At 36.3% G+C, this 19,807-nt stretch overlaps 1 protein-coding gene across 3 annotated transcripts in view; it reads left to right on the top strand.

The window, feature by feature from the left end:
• SEMA3C (semaphorin 3C) overlaps positions 1 to 19,807 on the top strand; it is a 179,852-nt gene that overhangs the window by 131,424 nt on the left and 28,621 nt on the right. For all 3 annotated transcript variants that reach the window (NM_001350120.2, NM_006379.5, NM_001350121.2), the window contains one exon: positions 1,438 to 1,660. In NM_001350120.2, coding sequence (NP_001337049.1) covers positions 1,438 to 1,660 — 223 coding nt within the window. The remainder of the gene's footprint in view (positions 1 to 1,437; positions 1,661 to 19,807) is intronic.

Raw genomic sequence — 19,807 nt, 5'->3', positions numbered from 1 at the left:
TCAATGATATAATGCATTCATTCAACTACTCTTTGGTGATTATCTACTAACCAGCTCTGTTATAAGTCTGATGGCAAAACAATAACAAAATAGACCCAGTTACAGTCAGCACAAGCTTACATTCTATAGGGAGAAACAGGCAGTTCTAGAGGGAGAAACAGACAATAAAGATGCAAGCAACTGATACATAATATACTGTTAGGTAAATAGGGCTGTGAAGAAAAATAGCAGGCCAAGGAGACAGAAAGTAAAGATGGAGAAGGGGAGCTACTTTTATATGTCATCACTTTCAAGAAGCAACTTTTGAACTGAGAACTGAATGTGAGGTAACAGAAATGGGGTGTTCTGGAGAGGAGTATGCCGGACAGGGAAGAGCAGGTGCTAAGATCCTGGAGGGGAAGTATGCTTGAGGCTCAGGAGCAGCAAGACCTACAGTAGGAGGGGCTGGCTCAGGCCAGATCATGCAGAGGCCTGTAGGCCATTCTAAGGTGTTGGTATTTTATTCTAAGGATAATGAATGGGATCTTTGATAGAGGGGAGTTACCAGATTTAATTTAACACATCCAATCTAAGCTGTCTTCTTCCTTCTTCTTCTTCTCTTCTTCTCTCCTCCCCTTCTCCTTCCTCCTCCTCCTTTCTCCTCCTCCTCCTCCTTTTTTCTCTTCTTCTTCCTTTTTTTATAGAGGTGGGATTTCACTCTGTTGCCCAGGCTAGAGTGCAGTGGTTTCATCACAGTTCACAGCAGCCTCAGATTCCTGGGCTCAAGAGATCCTCCTGCCTCAGTTTCCCAAGGAGTTGGGATCGCAGGCATGCACAGCCACACCTAGCTAATTTTTAACTTTTTTCCCAGAGATGAAATTTTGCTATGTTGCCCAGGCTGGTCTTGAACCCCTGGCTTCAACATCCTCTCATCTCAGCCTCCCAAAGTGCTAGGATTACAGGCCTGAGCCACCTAAGCCCCTAAGCTCCAATTTCTGAGCTCTCTTTTGGGAGGGCAGATCAGATGAAATAAAACTTTTACATGTCAGAGTTTGACTGAATTTAATGATAATAATATAATTTATTTTAACAAGTGGCAGCATTAGATTGTGTCCACTAGTTTTTGTTTTCTGAACAAAATGGTGTCTGGGACAAAATAAATAGAAAAGTGGTGAGTGAGAAGGGTGAAGAGTTATCTCATATACAAGATGGCATCAGCTCTTCTCTGAAAACAGAATAACATACAATGACTTAGCCTGATTCAAAATTAATACACACTGTACTAATCATCTACAGATAGTAAAACATAATCATGTTATTTCTTTTCACTTCCATAGGTAGCAGATATACTTAAAACAACTGGAGCTTCTAAGTGATTTCAAAAGTAGAGAGTTTTTGATTATTACTAGAACAAGACAACTATTTTATTAACTTGGTTCTTTAAAACTTTCTTTCTAGTGTCCAGGAGGAGCATTTACACCCAATATGCGAACCACCAAGGAGTTCCCAGATGATGTTGTCACTTTTATTCGGAACCATCCTCTCATGTACAATTCCATCTACCCAATCCACAAAAGGCCTTTGATTGTTCGTATTGGCACTGACTACAAGTATACAAAGATAGCTGTGGATCGAGTGAACGCTGCTGATGGGAGATACCATGTCCTGTTTCTCGGAACAGGTAAATATTTGAGCCCAAGATATGCTTTAATGTGTAGTAAAAGAATGTACTAAATATAGGTAGTAGGTAAGGGCCATGATCTTGAAACTAGAAAAACTCCAATAATTACGTCTGTCTAGCCCTTAGTGAGATATTTAATCTCTTTTTGCCTCAGTTTCACATCTGTAAAATGAAGCTAATAAAGTAAATTATAGAGTTCTTGTGAGGAATATATATAGAGATATATACATTATATAATATATATATGTAGGTAGGGCTATATGATTTTCTTGGCAATTTGTCATTACAAGATATTTGTATGATTTCTCTGCTGCACTTTCCATCCAAACTGGAAATGAACCAGCTTTGTGAAAAACTTCTTCTTGTCTCAATGGAAAAAGAAAAAAGCAATGATTAAGTACTAGAGTTGCATCTAGACATAACCGAAGCTGGTTTAGCCCTTATTTAATAAGCCATGGAGGTAAGTGTTCCTTTCAACTGAAACAGACTCTGTGACTTCTTAATCAATACATGAAGCCATTTTCTAAGGATAATGATAATGACAGATAACATACTCAATATAACATTTGGAAGTGAATGTGACTCAAATATAGACAGGTTTTTTGAAAATATTGATGGCACTCTTTTAATACATCTACAAATTCTATCAGTTTACTCTGATAGAAGTTGAATGAAAATGTGCTTGTTTATAGACCCACATGATAGGGAATAACTAGCATTGTATGTTATAGAGCAGTGGTTCTCAAAGTGTGGTCCCTGGACCAGTAATATCAGTATCACTGAGAACTTGTTGGAAATACAAATTCTGAGGTGCTTCTTCCAAAATTCTAGGGATGAAACCCACTCATCTGTGTTTTCGCAAGCCCTCTAAGTAATTCTGATGCACGCTAAAGTTAGGAACCACTACTCACGTCTTTCACACCCTGGCTTGTCGGTCGGGCAGTAATTTAAAATGTATTTTCAAACATCCCTAACTACCTTATAGGAACTGATGAAATCTCTTCACTTACAATAACACTCTTTACAATAACGTCTTGTTGTAATCTTAGAAATACTTTATGAAATTAGGTAGTTTATTAGGAAAGAGACAACACGTCTGTAAAAGTCATTATAAAATATGGCAGTGGTGGAATATGTGTTCTGGATCAAGGGATAAATTGCACTCGTACTTCAATCAGTTTAAGATGTGGGTACTTTTTCTTGGCTAAATAAAATTTCCAAAGTGTGCTAAGATAAGGTTTTTATTTTATCCTTTTTTTATTCTTGAAAACCCCATATCTGAATGTTTCATTTTCATATAATTTCAGCTTTATGGTCTGAGACTGAGAATCTTCTAAAATGTGCTACTACATTTGTTATCCTTTTTGGCATCCTAGGTTGGCATCCTTTCCCACGGGTTGGACATATCTGAGTTTTCACTATTCCTCTCTTTGCCTGCCTGACATCTGAGGAATAATCCTTCCTTCCCAGAATAACTGTTCCTCACTCTGCTCTCAATTTATATCTCATCCTACCATCTCCAGGACTTTTGTTATCAATTATATTCTTACTCACTTGATTCTTCCATTTCATCCTCCACTGAATCCTCAACTTAGAAGCCTTGCCAGGTTATGAAACTAAATATCCATCTTCACCCACTGCCACCTCTGCTGTATTGCAGATTTTGTCAAGGTCTTACATGGTCTCATGATAAGAAAAATATAGGCTTTTAACCACTGAAATACCTCTCTCTCCTATTTGCATCAGTTGGCATTGGAGAATCTCACTTTACCTATTGCTTCAGTCATGTGTCAGAGGATTCTCCTCTCCTCCTAGTGGTTCCCTCTTAGCTGGCTTCCTCCTGCCCATGAATGTGGGTATTCCCTGAGGGTCTGTCTATTGTCCCCCACCTTTTTTTTTTTTTTTTTTTTTTTTTAAACGGAGTCTTGCTCTATCACCCAGGCTGGAGTGCAGTGGCACGATCTCGGCTCACTGCAACCTCTGCCTCCCGGGTTCAAGATATTCTCCTGCTTCAGCCTCCCAAGTTGCTGGGATTACAAGCGCATGCCACCATGCCCAGCTAATTTTTGTATTTTTAATAGAGACAGGGTTTCACCATGTTGGCCAGGATGGTCTCAATCTCTTGATCACGTGATCCACCCACCTTGGCCTCCCAAAGTGCTGGGATTACAGGCATGAACCTCTGTGCCTGGCCTTATGGTCCCCTTTTTTAAGATACTCCATGTCCATCTCATTCATTCACTTGGCTTTAATTATCCATTCTGTGCAAACAAATCCCAAATGTATATTGTTATTCCTTACCATTTCCTATGCTCAGTGTTTTCATGTACAGTTGACTGTTGGATAACACACATTGTATAACCCATTAACATTTCAAACATCATGCTTCAAACTCAGTTTATCCTCTTTGAAAACTCTCCACCGAGCAGTTAATCCAATCTCCCATATTTGTATTCATTACTGCACATTTCTCTCAAAGTTCAATCTCTCTTTGCTATATAATTTCTCTCTAGGCATATCACAGTACCTGATAAACTCAATAAATATTTGTCAAGATAAATTGAAAATCATAACTATGTCCATTGTTACTCGTGTAATATGAATTCATAAATGTGACTGTAAAAGCTAATCTTCATTTGCATATAAAGTTTGTTCTCTACAGATACAGCCTTCATGTAAGTGACTACAAAGATTTGCTTTTAGCCTTAGCTCAGATCATTCAACTTAGAGTTTGTGTTAGAAAAACAGTTTTCTTTTTCCTGAGGCTACGTGTTAATTTGGAATATTACCTCTCCACAGTGTCTCATATTACCCAGAAAAGATGACTGTTTTCTCTTTTTTTTCTTGTGAAGCCTGTCTTAAAGGTGGACTTTGATGCCACAGCCAAGTTGGTTGGTTTTTTTTTTTTTCATGAAAATCTACATGAAATATGTGTATTTTCTCCATAAAAGATGTAGAGTTCATGGGTGGAATTTTAAGCCATTATGAACTGTTCAGCAGTATTTATTCATAGAAGACAGTAAGAAGCATACTTTTGCACAAATTCTTTGGCTTTTCTTACCACATAAGTTTCTGGCACCATTTCATAGAATTTTTATTTTGGTATTTAAACACTTGTGTCATTTTCAAAAACAATATTTAGGCATATGTTTTTAATTGTAGTGGAAGCTGCACTGATGATTGCTTACAAAGCCACAGGAGTCTCTTGAGGATCCCATCCTAATAGGAAAGTGTGTGCTGTGACACTGCCCCTGCCAACAGCATCTTACTGAAGAGATGGTAGCGCGCTTAGCCACTGGACCTTATTGTCATAACCGGCTGCATTATAATTTTTAAACAATGATTTCAATTTACCTGAGTCTCTAACAACCAGTATATTGGTATAAAATATTTACTGTGGCCAGGCACAGTGGCTCACGCCTGTAATCCCAGCACTTTGGGAGGCCAAGGCCAGCAGATCACCTGAGGTCGGGAGTTTGAGACCAGCCTGACCAGCATGGAGAAACCCCATCTCTACTAAAAATACAAAATTATCCCGGCATGGTGGCGCATGCCTGTAATCCCAGCTACTCGGGAGGCTGAGGCTTGAACCCGAGAGGTGGAGGTTGTGGTGAGTGAAGATTGCGCCATTGCACTCCAGCCTGGGCAACAAGAGTGAAACTCTGGTGAAATTTCTCCCAAAGAGAGTTCTCTCTTCCTGTTTGTTACTAAAAGGGACAAAATAGCTTTTTTAGGGGAGAATCACAGGTCATTGTCCCAGGATTTCCTAGCATTATATATCTAACTGTCTTGGGAAGGAGAAAACATTTCTTGGGTGTTTCCAGGTCCCCTAGTGTCAGACAGCCCTTCAGCTGTTATAAATGAATGATGATGCTCCAGTTATTGGCACAGTGAAGCAAGTTTCTCTTTTGGCTTTTCTTCTGTATCATCATGGAAAATTCAGGGGAACTCAATGAAGATATTATTTGTCAAAGAAGATGCCATAGGGGAAACTTATGTGACAGTTCATTGGAATGCAAATAGGATTTCATGTAATGATATTCACTTTGAATATTATGAATGATTTTGTAGCTTACAGAATCTCCATGGTAGTTGTGTGGGCTCCGTGCCTGGTAACTGTTACAGTTAGCCCAATACCATTATCGTGTACAACTCTGGCTGAATTTGAGATACTGACCTTCTACTCCCATCAAACTGCATCAGATTATTTTTTGTGTTACCAGATATCAAGCAAAATTAATTATTAATTAATTTAAAAAGAAAAGGAAAAAATGGAGGGAGGAAGGGAAAGAGGAAGTAAGGAAGGAAAAGTGAGCGTTGTCCTCTGACCTTTTATTTCTTATGGTTTTCATTACTGGTATCTAGTCTATGGGTTGGCAAACTAATAATATAACCTATGGCCCAAATCTAGCCCACCATATGTTCTGTATGGTACATACACTAATAATGTTGTTTTGTATTTTTAAGTGGTTGAAAAAGTAAAAAGCAGAATATCTCATGAGCAGTGAAGATTATATGATTTTTAGATTTCAGTGTCCATAGAGAAAGTTTTATTAAAATATAGCCACACCCATTCATTTACATTTCATCTGTGGCTGCCTTTGTACTACAGAAGCAGAGTTGATTAGTTGCCACAGAGACCTTTTAGCCAGCCAAGCCAGAAATATATATATTTTGGCCTTTTACAGAAAAAGTTTGCTTGTCACTGTTTTGGTTGATAATTGTAAATTTTTTAAAAAATTAATACTTCTTCAAGAAGCTATTTTCTAATATGTAGATATAATACAGTAATTCATTATGTTGCCCAAAATTAATATTTCTTCTTTTATCTTGAGTAAAAAAAAATGCTGCTACTTTGTTAAAATTTAAGCTGGAAACTACATTTATTTATTTTCCCACCCATTCCTGATACTACTGTCTATAAAAAAAAAATCACAGGTTGAAAAAATGTATTTTAAAATCAGCACTTGGTTTTATTCTGTAGCATTAGGGCTCTAGGTGTTTTTATGTTCTTTATCTCTCTTTTTTTTTTTTAATCTTGAGGAAGGGCTATAAAACAGCAGGCAAGGGTTCTCATAGGATTAACATTTCTATTTTAACTTTGCCACCTACTGCTTACATCCAGGCTGTTTGTTCAAAGCAGACTGTGTAACACAGTCAAGAGATTTTTGCCAGTTTTCCTTTTGCTTCTGGAGTTATGAAAATATTTAAGTGTCTAGGTCAGGTTCAGAGACATTCTGTAAAATTTATATTTTTAGCATTATACATGAATCAGAATGACGTGGTTTTTGATGAAAGAGTGAGAGTATTCTTATGAATGGGTGTTAGAGGTTTAAGATGATTTAATGCTATTATGATTTTTTAGTGTAGGGTCAATACATGTGTTCTGCTAACATTCTTATATAGTGTATACTGTTTCATGCTTCTTATTAGCTTCCGTTTAACTGGAGGAGTACTAAGTTGGAACATTGGTTCCAGGAAGTCCTCTGAAAGTGTGGAGTTTTGAAGTGTGTGTCACATATGTGAATAAAGCTTTAAAATGCTTGCCTTGTAGCATTAGAGGATAACTGCCTTCATAGTAACTAACCAGTTCTGGCAGTTGCATCTCTTGGAATGGCACACTTAATGAACTGCAGAGCCAGGAATTTTGATTTTTAAAGAACTCCTTAAAATACCCCATGTAAAATTTGATAGCTGGAGCAGTGCATGTGAGTTCAGAAACGATGACTGTCAGCTAGAAGTTGTGTGTGAATGTCACTCTGAGGATGTCTAGACGTCTCCTTTGCTTTGGCGTAAGGAAAAAACCCTTTGTAAGTTACTGATTTTTAATAACATCGTGGGTCACTGCTTTCCAAAGCAGAATGTGGAAACTTCTGAGAGTTTACCATAGATTCTACAGGGATTTTCACAGCAGGAAATACTAATGGAACAGAGTGGAACGATGGCTGAATTGATGGGAGATAGATGATAAGTCACGGTGTCATGACTACTTGATCATGTAGAAGAGTAGCAAAGAGAGGTATGTGAAGAGACAGGGAAAGAAAAGAACATAGCCCTGAGTGAATGCTAATCTAGAGGCAAATGTTGTCATTTACATTTTACTCTAAAAAGAGAACTTATTAAAAATAAAAATACAGCTCATTGCTGAAAAAATTTGTTTCAAAAAGCAGCATTATTTTTCTTTAAGCTACTCTTCAGAGACCTGTTATTTTAAGGACAACGTAAAATCTCATGTAATGATTGTATAAAGATATAGACATATAATGTGTCATATATATGTTAATATATATGATAATTGGTTCTAGTCTGCTCAAATTACCCATTTACTATTTAGTATTCTGGCTTAGGCAAATAAATATATATTTACAGATTTCTAAAATATTTTATTACTATTATAATGATGCTAATTAAATTTATCTGCAGTGCTTATCTTTTTCCAGTAATGCTAAATAAATTATTTCATCCAACCCTTATAAATATCATATGAAGAATTGTAACAATGTAGGTGCCATGGAGGGCAGGGATATGGGTTTGATTGATTTATTGCTGTATCCTTAGTACCTAGACTAGTGCATCACTCAGAGTGTGCACTCAAGAGGTATTATTTGAATGAATGAGTTGCATTTATTATTTGTCATTGTTTTTGGGCAGAATCACAGATAAGTTAATATCATAGAGATAGCAGTTAATATATAATACAACCAGAATATAAACCCATGCTGTCTGATTTCATATATTGAGCATTTATTCTCTTCACATTTTTACCTCATTTACCATAACTACTTTACATTTTTTCCTTAAATGAAGTTCATTTCATTTATATTTTCTCATTTTACTATGAATTAAATGTTTCATCCACATATATCATGATAATATCCCTGATGTGTTGACAGTCAGCGTTAGCATTGGCATTGCTTTGTTTGAGTGATAGCACTCATTTTAACCCATCCATATGTTACTACCAAGTCTTACATGTGAACAAGATTAATCTTGAACAAGGTGACAGAGAAGACTTGGACGAACTGCACCTTGGAACCGACTGAATTTTTGTGTGTGAATTAACTTATGTGCTCGAATTTAACCTGTGAATTTGATATGTTTATGTCAGTTACATTATGCCTAGGAAGAAAGGAGATAAAAATTGGGGGTGAGAGGGGAAGATGTGGAAAGGGAGTAGAACTTTACCTTCATTTTTGATGTATCACTAAATTTTTGCCCATTTAAAATTTGTTTTAAATTGGGACTCATATCTATATTCAAAATGTCTTGCATGCTCACCAAAACACCCATCAAACTCTTTGGCATTTTTTTTTCTTAATTAAAATGGATTCTGCATATATTTGGAGAGTTTGGAATATCATGCAAGGACCTAGTGGCTCTCAGCAGGAGGACAGAGGGCAGTGATTCACTTTGCACCACTGGCTCATTTACTACTGAATCCCTGATGTTTCTCTAGATGACTTGAAAACAATTACAGTCAGACCACATCCCTGAGTGTTGCCCCTATTTAACCCTCTGGTGATAGGAATGTAAGGAAAATTTTCTAGCCTGAAGACATTAAATGATGCAGTCTATTGTCTGTGTGTCAAGAATAAACAGCCACACTAAGTTTTTGTTCTTGATGTGCTGCCAAGTTTCCCTGAGGCAGACTTGGCAGGCTTTGTCCCAAGGAGAAGAATTCACAGCCTGCTGCTGAGCCAGGCCAGGCCTTCCCTATGTGAATATCCATAGGAAGGCTATAGCTGCCAGTTGTGGTGGCGGTTTTTGCAGAAAGCTGGCTTTTAAAATTTTTTATTGAACTTGGGAAAGTTCAAATTCTAGAAAATAGAAGGAAATGTTTCATTATAGAATGCGAAATATAGTTTAAGTTGGAATGAAAAGATCTGAAAACAGAGTTTCTGAGGAAGTCTGTGGTATTAGAGTCGTATGTGTTGCAATGAGTTGCATTCTTATTCTTCTCTTCCACTAATGGGGTGGGCAGAATAATGCCTCTGTCCCAAAAGATCTCTATGTCCTAATCTCTGGAACTGGGGACTTGTTATCTTACTTGTGAAAAGGAACTTGCAGATATGTTTAATGTTACAGACTTTTGAGATGGGGAGATTTTCCTGAATTGCTTGGGTGTGCCCAGTCTAATCACATGAGTTCTTAAAAAGCAGAGCTTTCCTGGCCATTGTTAGAGATGTGATAGTGGAAGAAGTGTCAGAGAAATGTGACTTAGCTGGCTTTGGAGATGGAGGAATGAGACCATATGCCAAGGAAAGCGGGTGGTCTCTAGAAGCTGGAAAATGCAAGGATGTATGTTCATTCTCCCTAAAGCATGCAGAAAGGAACCCTCTCAAAATCTTTTTTTAGTGCAGTGAGACCTGTGATGGAGTTCTAGTTTACAGAACTCTAAGGTAATAAATTTGTGTTGTTTTATGAGACAGGGTCTTGCTTTGTGGCTCAGGCCAGAGTGCAGTGGTGTGATCTCAGCTCACTGCAATCTCTGCACCCTGGGCTCAGGTGATCCTCCCATCTCAGCCTCCGGAGTATCTGGTACTACAGGTGCACACCACCGCGCCTGGCTAATTTTTCTATTTTTAGTAGAGATGGGGTTTCTGCACGTTGCCCAGGCTGATCTTGAACTCCTGGGCTCAAGCCATCTGCCCACCTCAGCCTCCCAAAGTGCTGGGATTACAGGCATGAGTCACTGCACCTGGCCTTTAATGTGTGTTTTTAAGACACTAAATTGGTAATAATTTGTTCATGACAGCAATAGAAACTTAATACAACTAGCTTTTGAGTTATGGCTTAATCTATGCTTCTTTTAATAATTTTTTAAAACAAAGATTAATCAATCCTGATGTTTAAAACTCTGGAAATGTCCTTAGTGATTTATGCAAAAAGATAACATGTTATGTTCTAGAGCTCTTTCTCAACCAGTATAGAATAACATAGTAATATATCACAAAGATGTCATTTATTCAGTCATTAGAATTTATTGAGCTTATTGCACTCCAGGACTTATGATATATAAAGAAAAATGGCAACATCACTTTCCTTTAAGAATCTCTTGACCCAATGGAGGAGACAATTTAATCCAATTCAATGAATATTTATTTCACATGGGAGTGGCTGCCTGATACATATTTGAGATAGTTTTCTATTGCTGTATAACAAGTTACCACAAAATTTGTGGCTTAAGACTACATACATTTATTATCTTAGAGCTCCTAAGGATGATTGCTTAGCTAGCCTCTCTGATCAGGGTATCACAAGGTTGTAATCAAAATTTAGCCAGGCTGCATTGTTTTTTAAAGTTCAAGGTCCTCATCCAAACCCACCTGGTTTTTGGCAAAATTCAGTTCCTTGCTTTTGCAGAAGTAAGGTCCTTAACTCCTTGAGGCCACCCACAGGTTTTTGCACATAGATCTCCTCATTGGCTCTTTAAAATGTGGTTGTTTGCTTCTTCAAGGCTAGTAGAGTCTCTCACTTCAATCTGCTGAGATGGGGTCTCATATAATCATAATCTTGGTATTGACATACCATCACTTTTATATTTTTCTGTTGCTTAAAAGCAAGCCACATGTTCCACCTGCACTCAAGAGGAGGAGTTATACAAGAGCATGACTCATTAAGGGTCACCTAAGAGTGTGTCAGCCATGACCCATACACATTTTTAGGTAGATCATTTTCACGATGATGTAGAGGATACATTAAAGACAGAGAAAAGAAAATGAGACTTTTTTTCTGTTATAGGTAAGAAATGATGAGAGCCTATAAATTAAGACAGGGGTTAGAAATGACATTATCCGATCTAAAAGGTATTTGGGAGAAAGAAAGGACCTGATGATAAAAATTGATTTGTGGCTTGATTGGTAGATATATGACTTGGCAAATGGGGGAAAGAAATAGCATTGACTGATCAAGGTAAGAGAGAATCAGCAATCAGATTTGGAGAGTAATGAATTCCTTTTTTTTAAAATAAATGGCACACTTATCTCCTCTTTTGACCTACTATGCATGAGAGTCTAAATTGATCACTTAAAATACATTATTTCATTAAAACCACACAGCAACCCAATGAAAATCATTATCCCCATTTTACAGTTGTGTAAACTGAGGCTTTGAGACATTAAATGCTTGCTTAGGATGGCAAAGCTAGTAGGAACAATAATTAAATTCAAGCTCAGTTCCATCTCACATCAAGTTGAAGATTTGGTGGACTATTCAGACAGATAAGTCAAAGAGGGTGTTATAGAGAGCACTGTGCTGGAGCTGGAGATCTGGGAGTCATTAGCAATGTGGGTGATAGCTGAATCCATGAAAATGCTTGAAGTCACTCTAGGAGACCATGCAGATAAGGAATTTAACTCTTGGAGCTCATTTAAGGGGTGGGAAAATAAAGAATATTTACCAAGAAAATGGAGAGTGATCATACAAGTAACAGGAGAATAAAAGAATGTGATATTGTGGTGGCCTTGAGAACAAACACTAAAAGGAAGGAAGATGCGGTGGTCAAGATCATCAGATGTGGCACTGTTATAGCTGAGTGCCCTGGTAGTAGGTTATTTTCCTCATCCTATCTTCTTACATGCTAGTAACATTTGCCAGGAGAATAACCATTCCAGATGGAAAGACCTGAGACATGAACAGAAAGAAGTAGGAAGAGGTTAACAATGCAAGTAAATGGGTTGTTTGATGACCACATTCTGAGAGGAAAGATGTTTTCCTTACCCAGGCACCTAGAAATGTAGATAGATATTCAAGGCCAGTTTATGTATGTGGTTTAAACTTTGAAAACTAACACAGAAGAACCTATCTTATGATAAAAAATGGTGCAAGAAAACAGGTTGAGTGACCATACAATTCATGAATCCCAGATGAGTAATTCTTCTCCCCAAACAGTAAAGGATTAAATAGAGAAGATTAGCCCCGAATTTACATCTTTGGACATGTAGTTGTTGTATCCTTTGTAGGATCAGTAAAAACTTACATAATAAACCTGCATTATTGAAGGTGTGTCAGTTTATCTGAAATTAAAATATAAATAGAAACAATTCTTAATGTAAAGAAACAGGAATACTAAAATGTGATATGTAATTTTTAGTAATTCACAAAGTCCTAAAACATTAATTTTAGTGATTGCTGAGGCCCTATGTGAATATTCTTTAGCTATATCACAGGAAATAATGGTAATAATTCATTTTTTGATGGATTATCACTTGAGCCAATACCATATTATGGGGGTTTTTTTAACCCTCACAGAGAAAATTTGCTTCTAGAACCAGAATATACAAACTTATTAAACACTTTTTGACACATTAGATATAGCAGATATTTTTATGAGGACAGACACCTTAGTTGAATAAATAAAGTATGAAGTCACATCTTAAAAGGGAACATTTTGTTGTTTTCTGATTTTTTGGTATGCTTCAATTAAATCAAAACATAACTTAGTCACTCATTATACAATTTCTAGTTTAGTAAAACCACTGGCCTTAAGATGTCTCTTTCAGCTTTGTCCCAGAAATCTATTTTTCAATTAACCTGCCTAAAGGTTTAACTCTGAAACTTTCTACAGCCATGATGGATGCAAGCATGTGTGTGCACCTGTAAAATTCTATATCAACATATGGCAGTGTGGTATGTAGATCAAGAGATATTCCCATAGTCACCATTTCTAATTTTGGTTGTGACTTCACCAAAACCTTGTATAAAACCAAATACAAGGTTGGGTGCAGTGGCTCACGCCTGTACTCCCAGCACTTTGGGAGGCCGAGGTCGGTGGATCACCTGAGGTCAGGAGTTTGAGACCAGCCTGGCCAACATGGCAAAACCCCGTCTCTACTAAAAATACAAAAATTAGCCAGGCGTGGTGGCACGCATCTGTAATTCCAGCTACTCAGGAGGCTGACACAGGAGAATCGCTTGAACCCGGGAGGTAGAGGTTGCAGTGAGCTGAGATTGTGCCACTGTACTCTAGCTTGGGTGACAGAGCCAGACGCCGTCTAAAAAAAAAACCCCAAATAAAAAATAATTTATTAGAATGGTTTTTAGTGTCATTCCTGGATGAAAGGTTAGGGAATATATTTTAGCATTCAAGTTTAAATCCTGCCCTCTATCACTTATCAGTTATATTACATTGAGGAAATTATATAACATCTCTAAGCCCAGTTTTCTTATAGGAGAATTTTAAAGTAGACTTTATAGATTTACTTTAAAGACCAAATGAGATAAAATATGTATAAGCCTGAGTGTACAACCTAGCGATTAGTAAGCATTCAATAGAGACATACACACATGTACCTATATAATATCTGTTATTGAAATCAATCACACATATCTATGATATATATCATATATATTAGTATATAGCTATGCATTTAATAAGTATTTGGAATGTTTGTCACGTGTCCAATACTGTTCTGTTCACTAGAAATAAGCAGTGAACAAAACCAAAAAAAGCATCTCCTTTCACAGAGCTCAGATACTTGTAAGCAATACAAATGGTAATGAACAATATGCATGCAATTATTTTCCAGCATCACCTACATTTGAGTACCCACTATATTAGGAAAAGCTGAAAGCAAAAACAAGAAAATATATTTTTAAAACTTCAGTAACATCATAGATGAATCCGTTGGTAATATGTTGGTGGCATTTCTTTCATTTGGAATTTGTAGATAAAAGTAAAGCACTGGTGTGTATAACAAAAGTATATAAATAATTTATGTAACAGGTGAAGAGACAAATAAGGAAAGGCAGTTTCAGACTACGGGGAGTAAAATTAGTTATAATCTGTAGAATTTACAAGAAAGGTTCACGTAGGCTCTTTTCTTTGATCTTGAACAACCTTGTCAGGTGTGTAGGGCAAATACTATATTCAGATTTTATAAAGAAACAGAAAGGATTATAGTTGGCAGGTTTTACTCTAGTTTATACTGTTTGCAAGTGCAAAACGAGAATGAATAAAATGGAAATAGAGGACATTATTGCAGATTCTGGAGAAGGTGGTATATTTTATTTTCTTTCTTTTTTTTTTTTTTGTAATTTACTTGGCAGTATTGTAGGGACTGCCATTAACTGGTCTGTTAATGAGCAATTGTTATCTACTCCTGAGGGCTATTAATAACTGCAAAAAGAGAACCTTTGTAGAGCACGGTCTTGTACATATACGGTGTTCAGCATGTGAGGGAACAATGCAAATTAGTTGTATTCCTTCTAACATAACTGCTTTTGGGCAGACGTCATAGTGGTATCCTGATTTAGTAAAGTAATCTTTGTAGATCTGCTTTTGAGGATGTATACTCCATCATTTTAGTAAAAACAGGAACATATATTTCAGTCTATAGCTTCACTTAACTATGTCTCTTATATTGTTATTGCCTAAGATACATATGCTCATTGTAAAAATAATCTAGAAAATAATTTTTTTTAAAAAAAGGAAGAAAAGCAATTACAGTTTATATTCCCTTATTTGAAACCAAATGTGCCTCAGAAGTATTTGAATAGGAAAAGGTAATGTATTCATATATATTAGGTAAAATGACTTGCAGAACCTTGGACCACACCCTATAATAATGCACAGTACTATTTCTGCAGTGAAACAGAAATCTTCAAACCATGTGTAAAAAAAAGCACCACCATAAATAGCCTGAGTCAGTGCAGGTCAGGTTTTATGACCAAATTAGTTCAAGTCAGGACAGATTTTGCCACCAAAGAAATTTAAGAAAAAAGAAAACAAACTTAAGATTTTTAGATTTGTAGATAAAAGATAATGGGCCTGCATTAAAAATAGAATATAATTCCCTACTTAATACAGGGATTAGATTGTAAATACTGATTTTTTAATACTCTGTAAGATATCACATATAGGTCTGTTTGGCTTTTTTATTTATTTTTTAGAGTAAATAGTTTTATTTTTCTGTCACTAAGATTTTCAGAAATGGGTCAGCTTTGTTCTTATTTCAGCTTTTATCATGTTCTCAAATATCTGTAGTAGTTCCAAAACTTCTACCTACAAACCAGTTGGCACTAACAAAAAGAGAATCATACCGGGTTCTCATTCCTTTTGGAGTTTCCATTTTGTACCAATTCCCTTCAGACTAAAAGGCATCCTTTAGAATTTCTCCAAATGCAGGAGGTCTGCAGGCAACAAAATTTCCATGCTTTTATTGATTGTTTTCACTTTTTTTAAAAGAGTATTTTTGTGGATATAGAATTGTGGGTTCACTTTGTCTTTTCTTTCAGCATTTAAAAAAATGCCATTCCATTATCTTCTTGGCTTCCCTTGTTTCTCATAAAAACTTACCAATAATTACGTTCCTTGTTCCCATGACAATGTATTTTTTCTCTTGTTCCTTTCAGGGATTTTTCTCTGTGGTTTGTTTTCAGCAGTTTACATAAAATATGCCAGGGTTTGACTCCCTTAACATTTCTTCAACTTGGTTATTAATGAATCCTTATATCTGTAATGTAATGTTTTTCATCAAATTTGGGAAGTGTATGGCCATTTTTTCAAGTATTTTTCTTCTCCAATCTCTCTATTCTTCTTGTGAAACTCTAGTCACATATATGTTGACCGTTTGATAACACACAGGCCAAGAGGGTCTGTTCACCTTCTTCAATCTTTTTCCCTCTGTTTTTCCAATTGCATAAATTCTATAATCTGTCTTCAAGTTCATTGACTTTTTTCTCTTTCAACTCCAATACTTTAATCTGCTATTAACCCCATGGAGTTAATATTTTATTTCTGTTATTATACTTTTAGTTCTAAAATTTCCATTTTGTTTGGCTGATAGTCTTTATTTCTTTAATGAATTTTCCTGTCTGTTAATTTGTTGAAACCATGTCTTCCTTTAGTTTTTGAATATATTTGTTTTATTATTTGAATGTTTTTATACTAATTATAATAACTGCTTTAATGCTGTTATTTGCTAAGTCCAGCATCTGGTTTATCTCAACTTTGTTCTTCTTGACTCTTGGTCCTGTTTTCTCTCTTTTTTATACATAATGAATTATGTTGTTGAATCCTGGAAATTATGGATAATGCCCTGGGCTTGAGTTCTGTTTTCTTCCTCTGAATGGTGTTCATTCTTATTATAGCAAGCACTTTATTATTAGCTGATCACTTTGCACTTGTTTGAACTTGTACTACTCTTTGTTTGAATGCATATGCTTAAAGCATGTCACTCCAGTTTTACAGGACTCAAACTCCAAAATCTCTCCCTTCCACATCTTATCAGATTAGGTTATGGGTTTTGTTAGAGCAGGCCTAAATTAGGTCTTCCTCTGGAATACAACACTTTTAAAATCTCAGCCTTTCTTGTGTCAGCTGGATGTCAGGGTTTTTAACAAGGTGTTAATGAGATCTGACTGAGGCAAGAACAACTTCATCCAGCTTTTCTCTTCCAGAATTGCCAAACCTGTAATTTATCTGAACAGTTTTTGCGAGTAGCAACTGCAATCTGGTAAGCCTCTGGTGCTCTCATCCTGCATATATAGCCCAGGACTCAACCAGAGACTCACAGAGTGTTTCCACGTGAATTTCTGAAACCCACTTTCTGGACACCTCCCTTGCTCTGACACTCTGTACCACAGAATTGATTTCTTTCTGCTGCCCCACATTTTCATATCTGCCTCCTCATCTTAGTGGGACCACCATGCTTAAACACAAGCTCTCTGAACCTCTGTTGAGATTGTTCCCAGACAGAAAGTGTGGAATGATCATGAATATTAGCTTGTGAGTATCCTTTCTTCTAGTCTTGCACTGCCTGTTATCTGTTACCTAAAAAGAATGGCCTCATACATTTTGTCCAGTTTTTTCATTTGCTTGCTGCAGGAAAGTACTCTAGTATCAATTACTCCATCATGGTTAATGGTCATATTGCCCTCCAGAAGATTTTCCTGATTACGTTTCTACCAAAAGTGTTTGAAAATTTCTATTTCCTTGTTTCTATGCCAACTCTGGGCTTTATCATTCATTTTGCTGAAGATCATTATTTTTACAATTTCATAAATCGTATATACTCTAATTTTCAAAACATATGAAAATTCTTTATTATAATTCTGCTTGAAGACTTCCCCTGAATATTTTAATATATTGCAAGTAAGTCAATAATTTAATATAGTGGTAGAAAATGTGTTATTTTAGCTAAAAATAGAAAAAAAATTGTAACATTTCTATTTTAAAAACTAATTTGTTAGCTTTCTCTTTGATTAAATGCAGACAACTACCAAGAAATGAAATAGGTTTAAAAAATTATACTGTTTTTCTCTCACGATTCTTTAATGTTTGAGCAAACACATGTTTCTTCTCTAAAGCTTATTTAATATGCAGCACCTCCAAACATTATGTCTGTGGTGTGATGTGGGAGCCAGCATCTGTATTTTTAGTAAACTCCCAAGGTGACTTTGAGTGAGGTAATCTGAAAGCCAGACTCTGAGAAACTGTTTGTATAATTGAACATGACTCTAGGTGCTAAGGAGCCAAGTGAAATTAATGGTATCAGCAAATAAACTTGAAAGGCACTGAGTACACTATTTTCCTCATAATGCAACAAAGTATTTTAACTTTTGTGAAAGGCTCTGCAGGAAAAAAATAAAACAAACAAAAAAAAAAACATGTTTAACCTAGTTTAACCCAGTACTTCCAAATTTATATGACCCTATAAACTCTTTAGCATCAACACTCTTGGGAAGATGATTAGATGGCTTTTGTTGAGACAGCCTTTCTAAGGGCCTCCCCTCAAATACAGACACTTGAGATGCCCTCGATGACCAACTGGGGCTCTAATACCCCCAGGGCTGAGGCTGAAGGTGTCAACATTACAGCTTTCCAATTACCAATTCAAAGCTTACCATGTGAGAAACCCTGCTAAACGTGAGAAATTGTGCTAAATAAGTCAGTTTAGAAATACTTCATATTTTTTGTAACAAGGCATACACATGCACAGAATGCTACCTTTTAAAAGTAGATTCAGTGAACTAATAAAGATTTTATAAACTCATGATTCAGTTTTATTCTGAAATGTTAAAACTCACTATTAAAAGATTTTAGCAGCAGTTTGATTACCTAACAGGAAAATAAATGTATTAGGAATGGGTATTTTAACATAAAATAAGGCAGCCAATTATCAGTATGTAATTATAGAAATTAATAATTGATGTGTCTAGTCATACCTCCCTCATCTCTATTAAGCATTCATTTGCCAAGCAAATATTTTGCAGTTCTTTCTTGGGCTTTCAAAGTATGTTTCCTCATTTTAATAAGCAAGTTGTCTCAGAAAATTATTAAAAAGGAAGAGATGCCTTTTAGTAAATATGGTGATTTTATCTTTTATAATAGTACTTTAAATTAATACTAGAACTAATCATTTTGCAGTAATTTACCCCTAATATCGTGTACGGGGCTGCCTAGGCTGACACCTAGGAGCAAGAAGAGCACAGGAACTTGTGTGACTGTGGGTGACACACCCATGAAGCTGGCCCTGACTAGAATACATTTATAGGTTAGCAACCAGGAGGAAGGGACTGGCCAGATCTCATTAAGGAGGCAGTGTTCCCCCAAATCCCTCAGAAGCGCAGGGGAAAGCAGACAGTTTGGCACATGAGTTTCCAGGGAAACCCCCTTAGGACTGTTTACATAAGACTCAGGAGATAGATATACAAATGACTATTCCAATGACCTGCTTAGTAGTGAGCTGTGTTTGATCACTCGCATGAGGCAGCCAACACTTACTGTACTTATAAATGCAAGCTGATTTCTTGGCTAGAGACAGTGGAAAGGTTTAAGGATAATTGCTGTGCTCCCTTATATTAGAAAAAAATTAGATAGTATAAAATAAGGCAGGAAGGAAGACTGTCTAGGAAATTTTCTTTAATGATTTAATAAAACAAAAGAAAATAAAAATATCTCATATGGATTGATGAGTCTGCTGTGTTACCTTTGTGCATAGAGTTGCATTATGCAAATGACTTTGCAGATTTGTCTTGCTTATTCCCACAGTGCTTTAATGTATTTAGAGTATCTCTATTATCTGTACCTCACAGAAGAGAAAATTGAGGGCCAGTCAAAGAAAGTGACTACAATTGTGTCAAAAGTGTACTCAGCGATGGAGCTAAAACTAAAACATAACTTCCATTTACTGAGAACGTTATTGA

This window comes from Homo sapiens, chromosome 7 (assembly GCF_000001405.40).
Source record: "Homo sapiens chromosome 7, GRCh38.p14 Primary Assembly".
Lineage (NCBI taxonomy): Eukaryota > Metazoa > Chordata > Mammalia > Primates > Hominidae > Homo > Homo sapiens.
The sequence above is the reverse complement of the archived record's forward strand: the minus strand, read 5'-3'. Positions and strand labels throughout refer to the sequence as shown.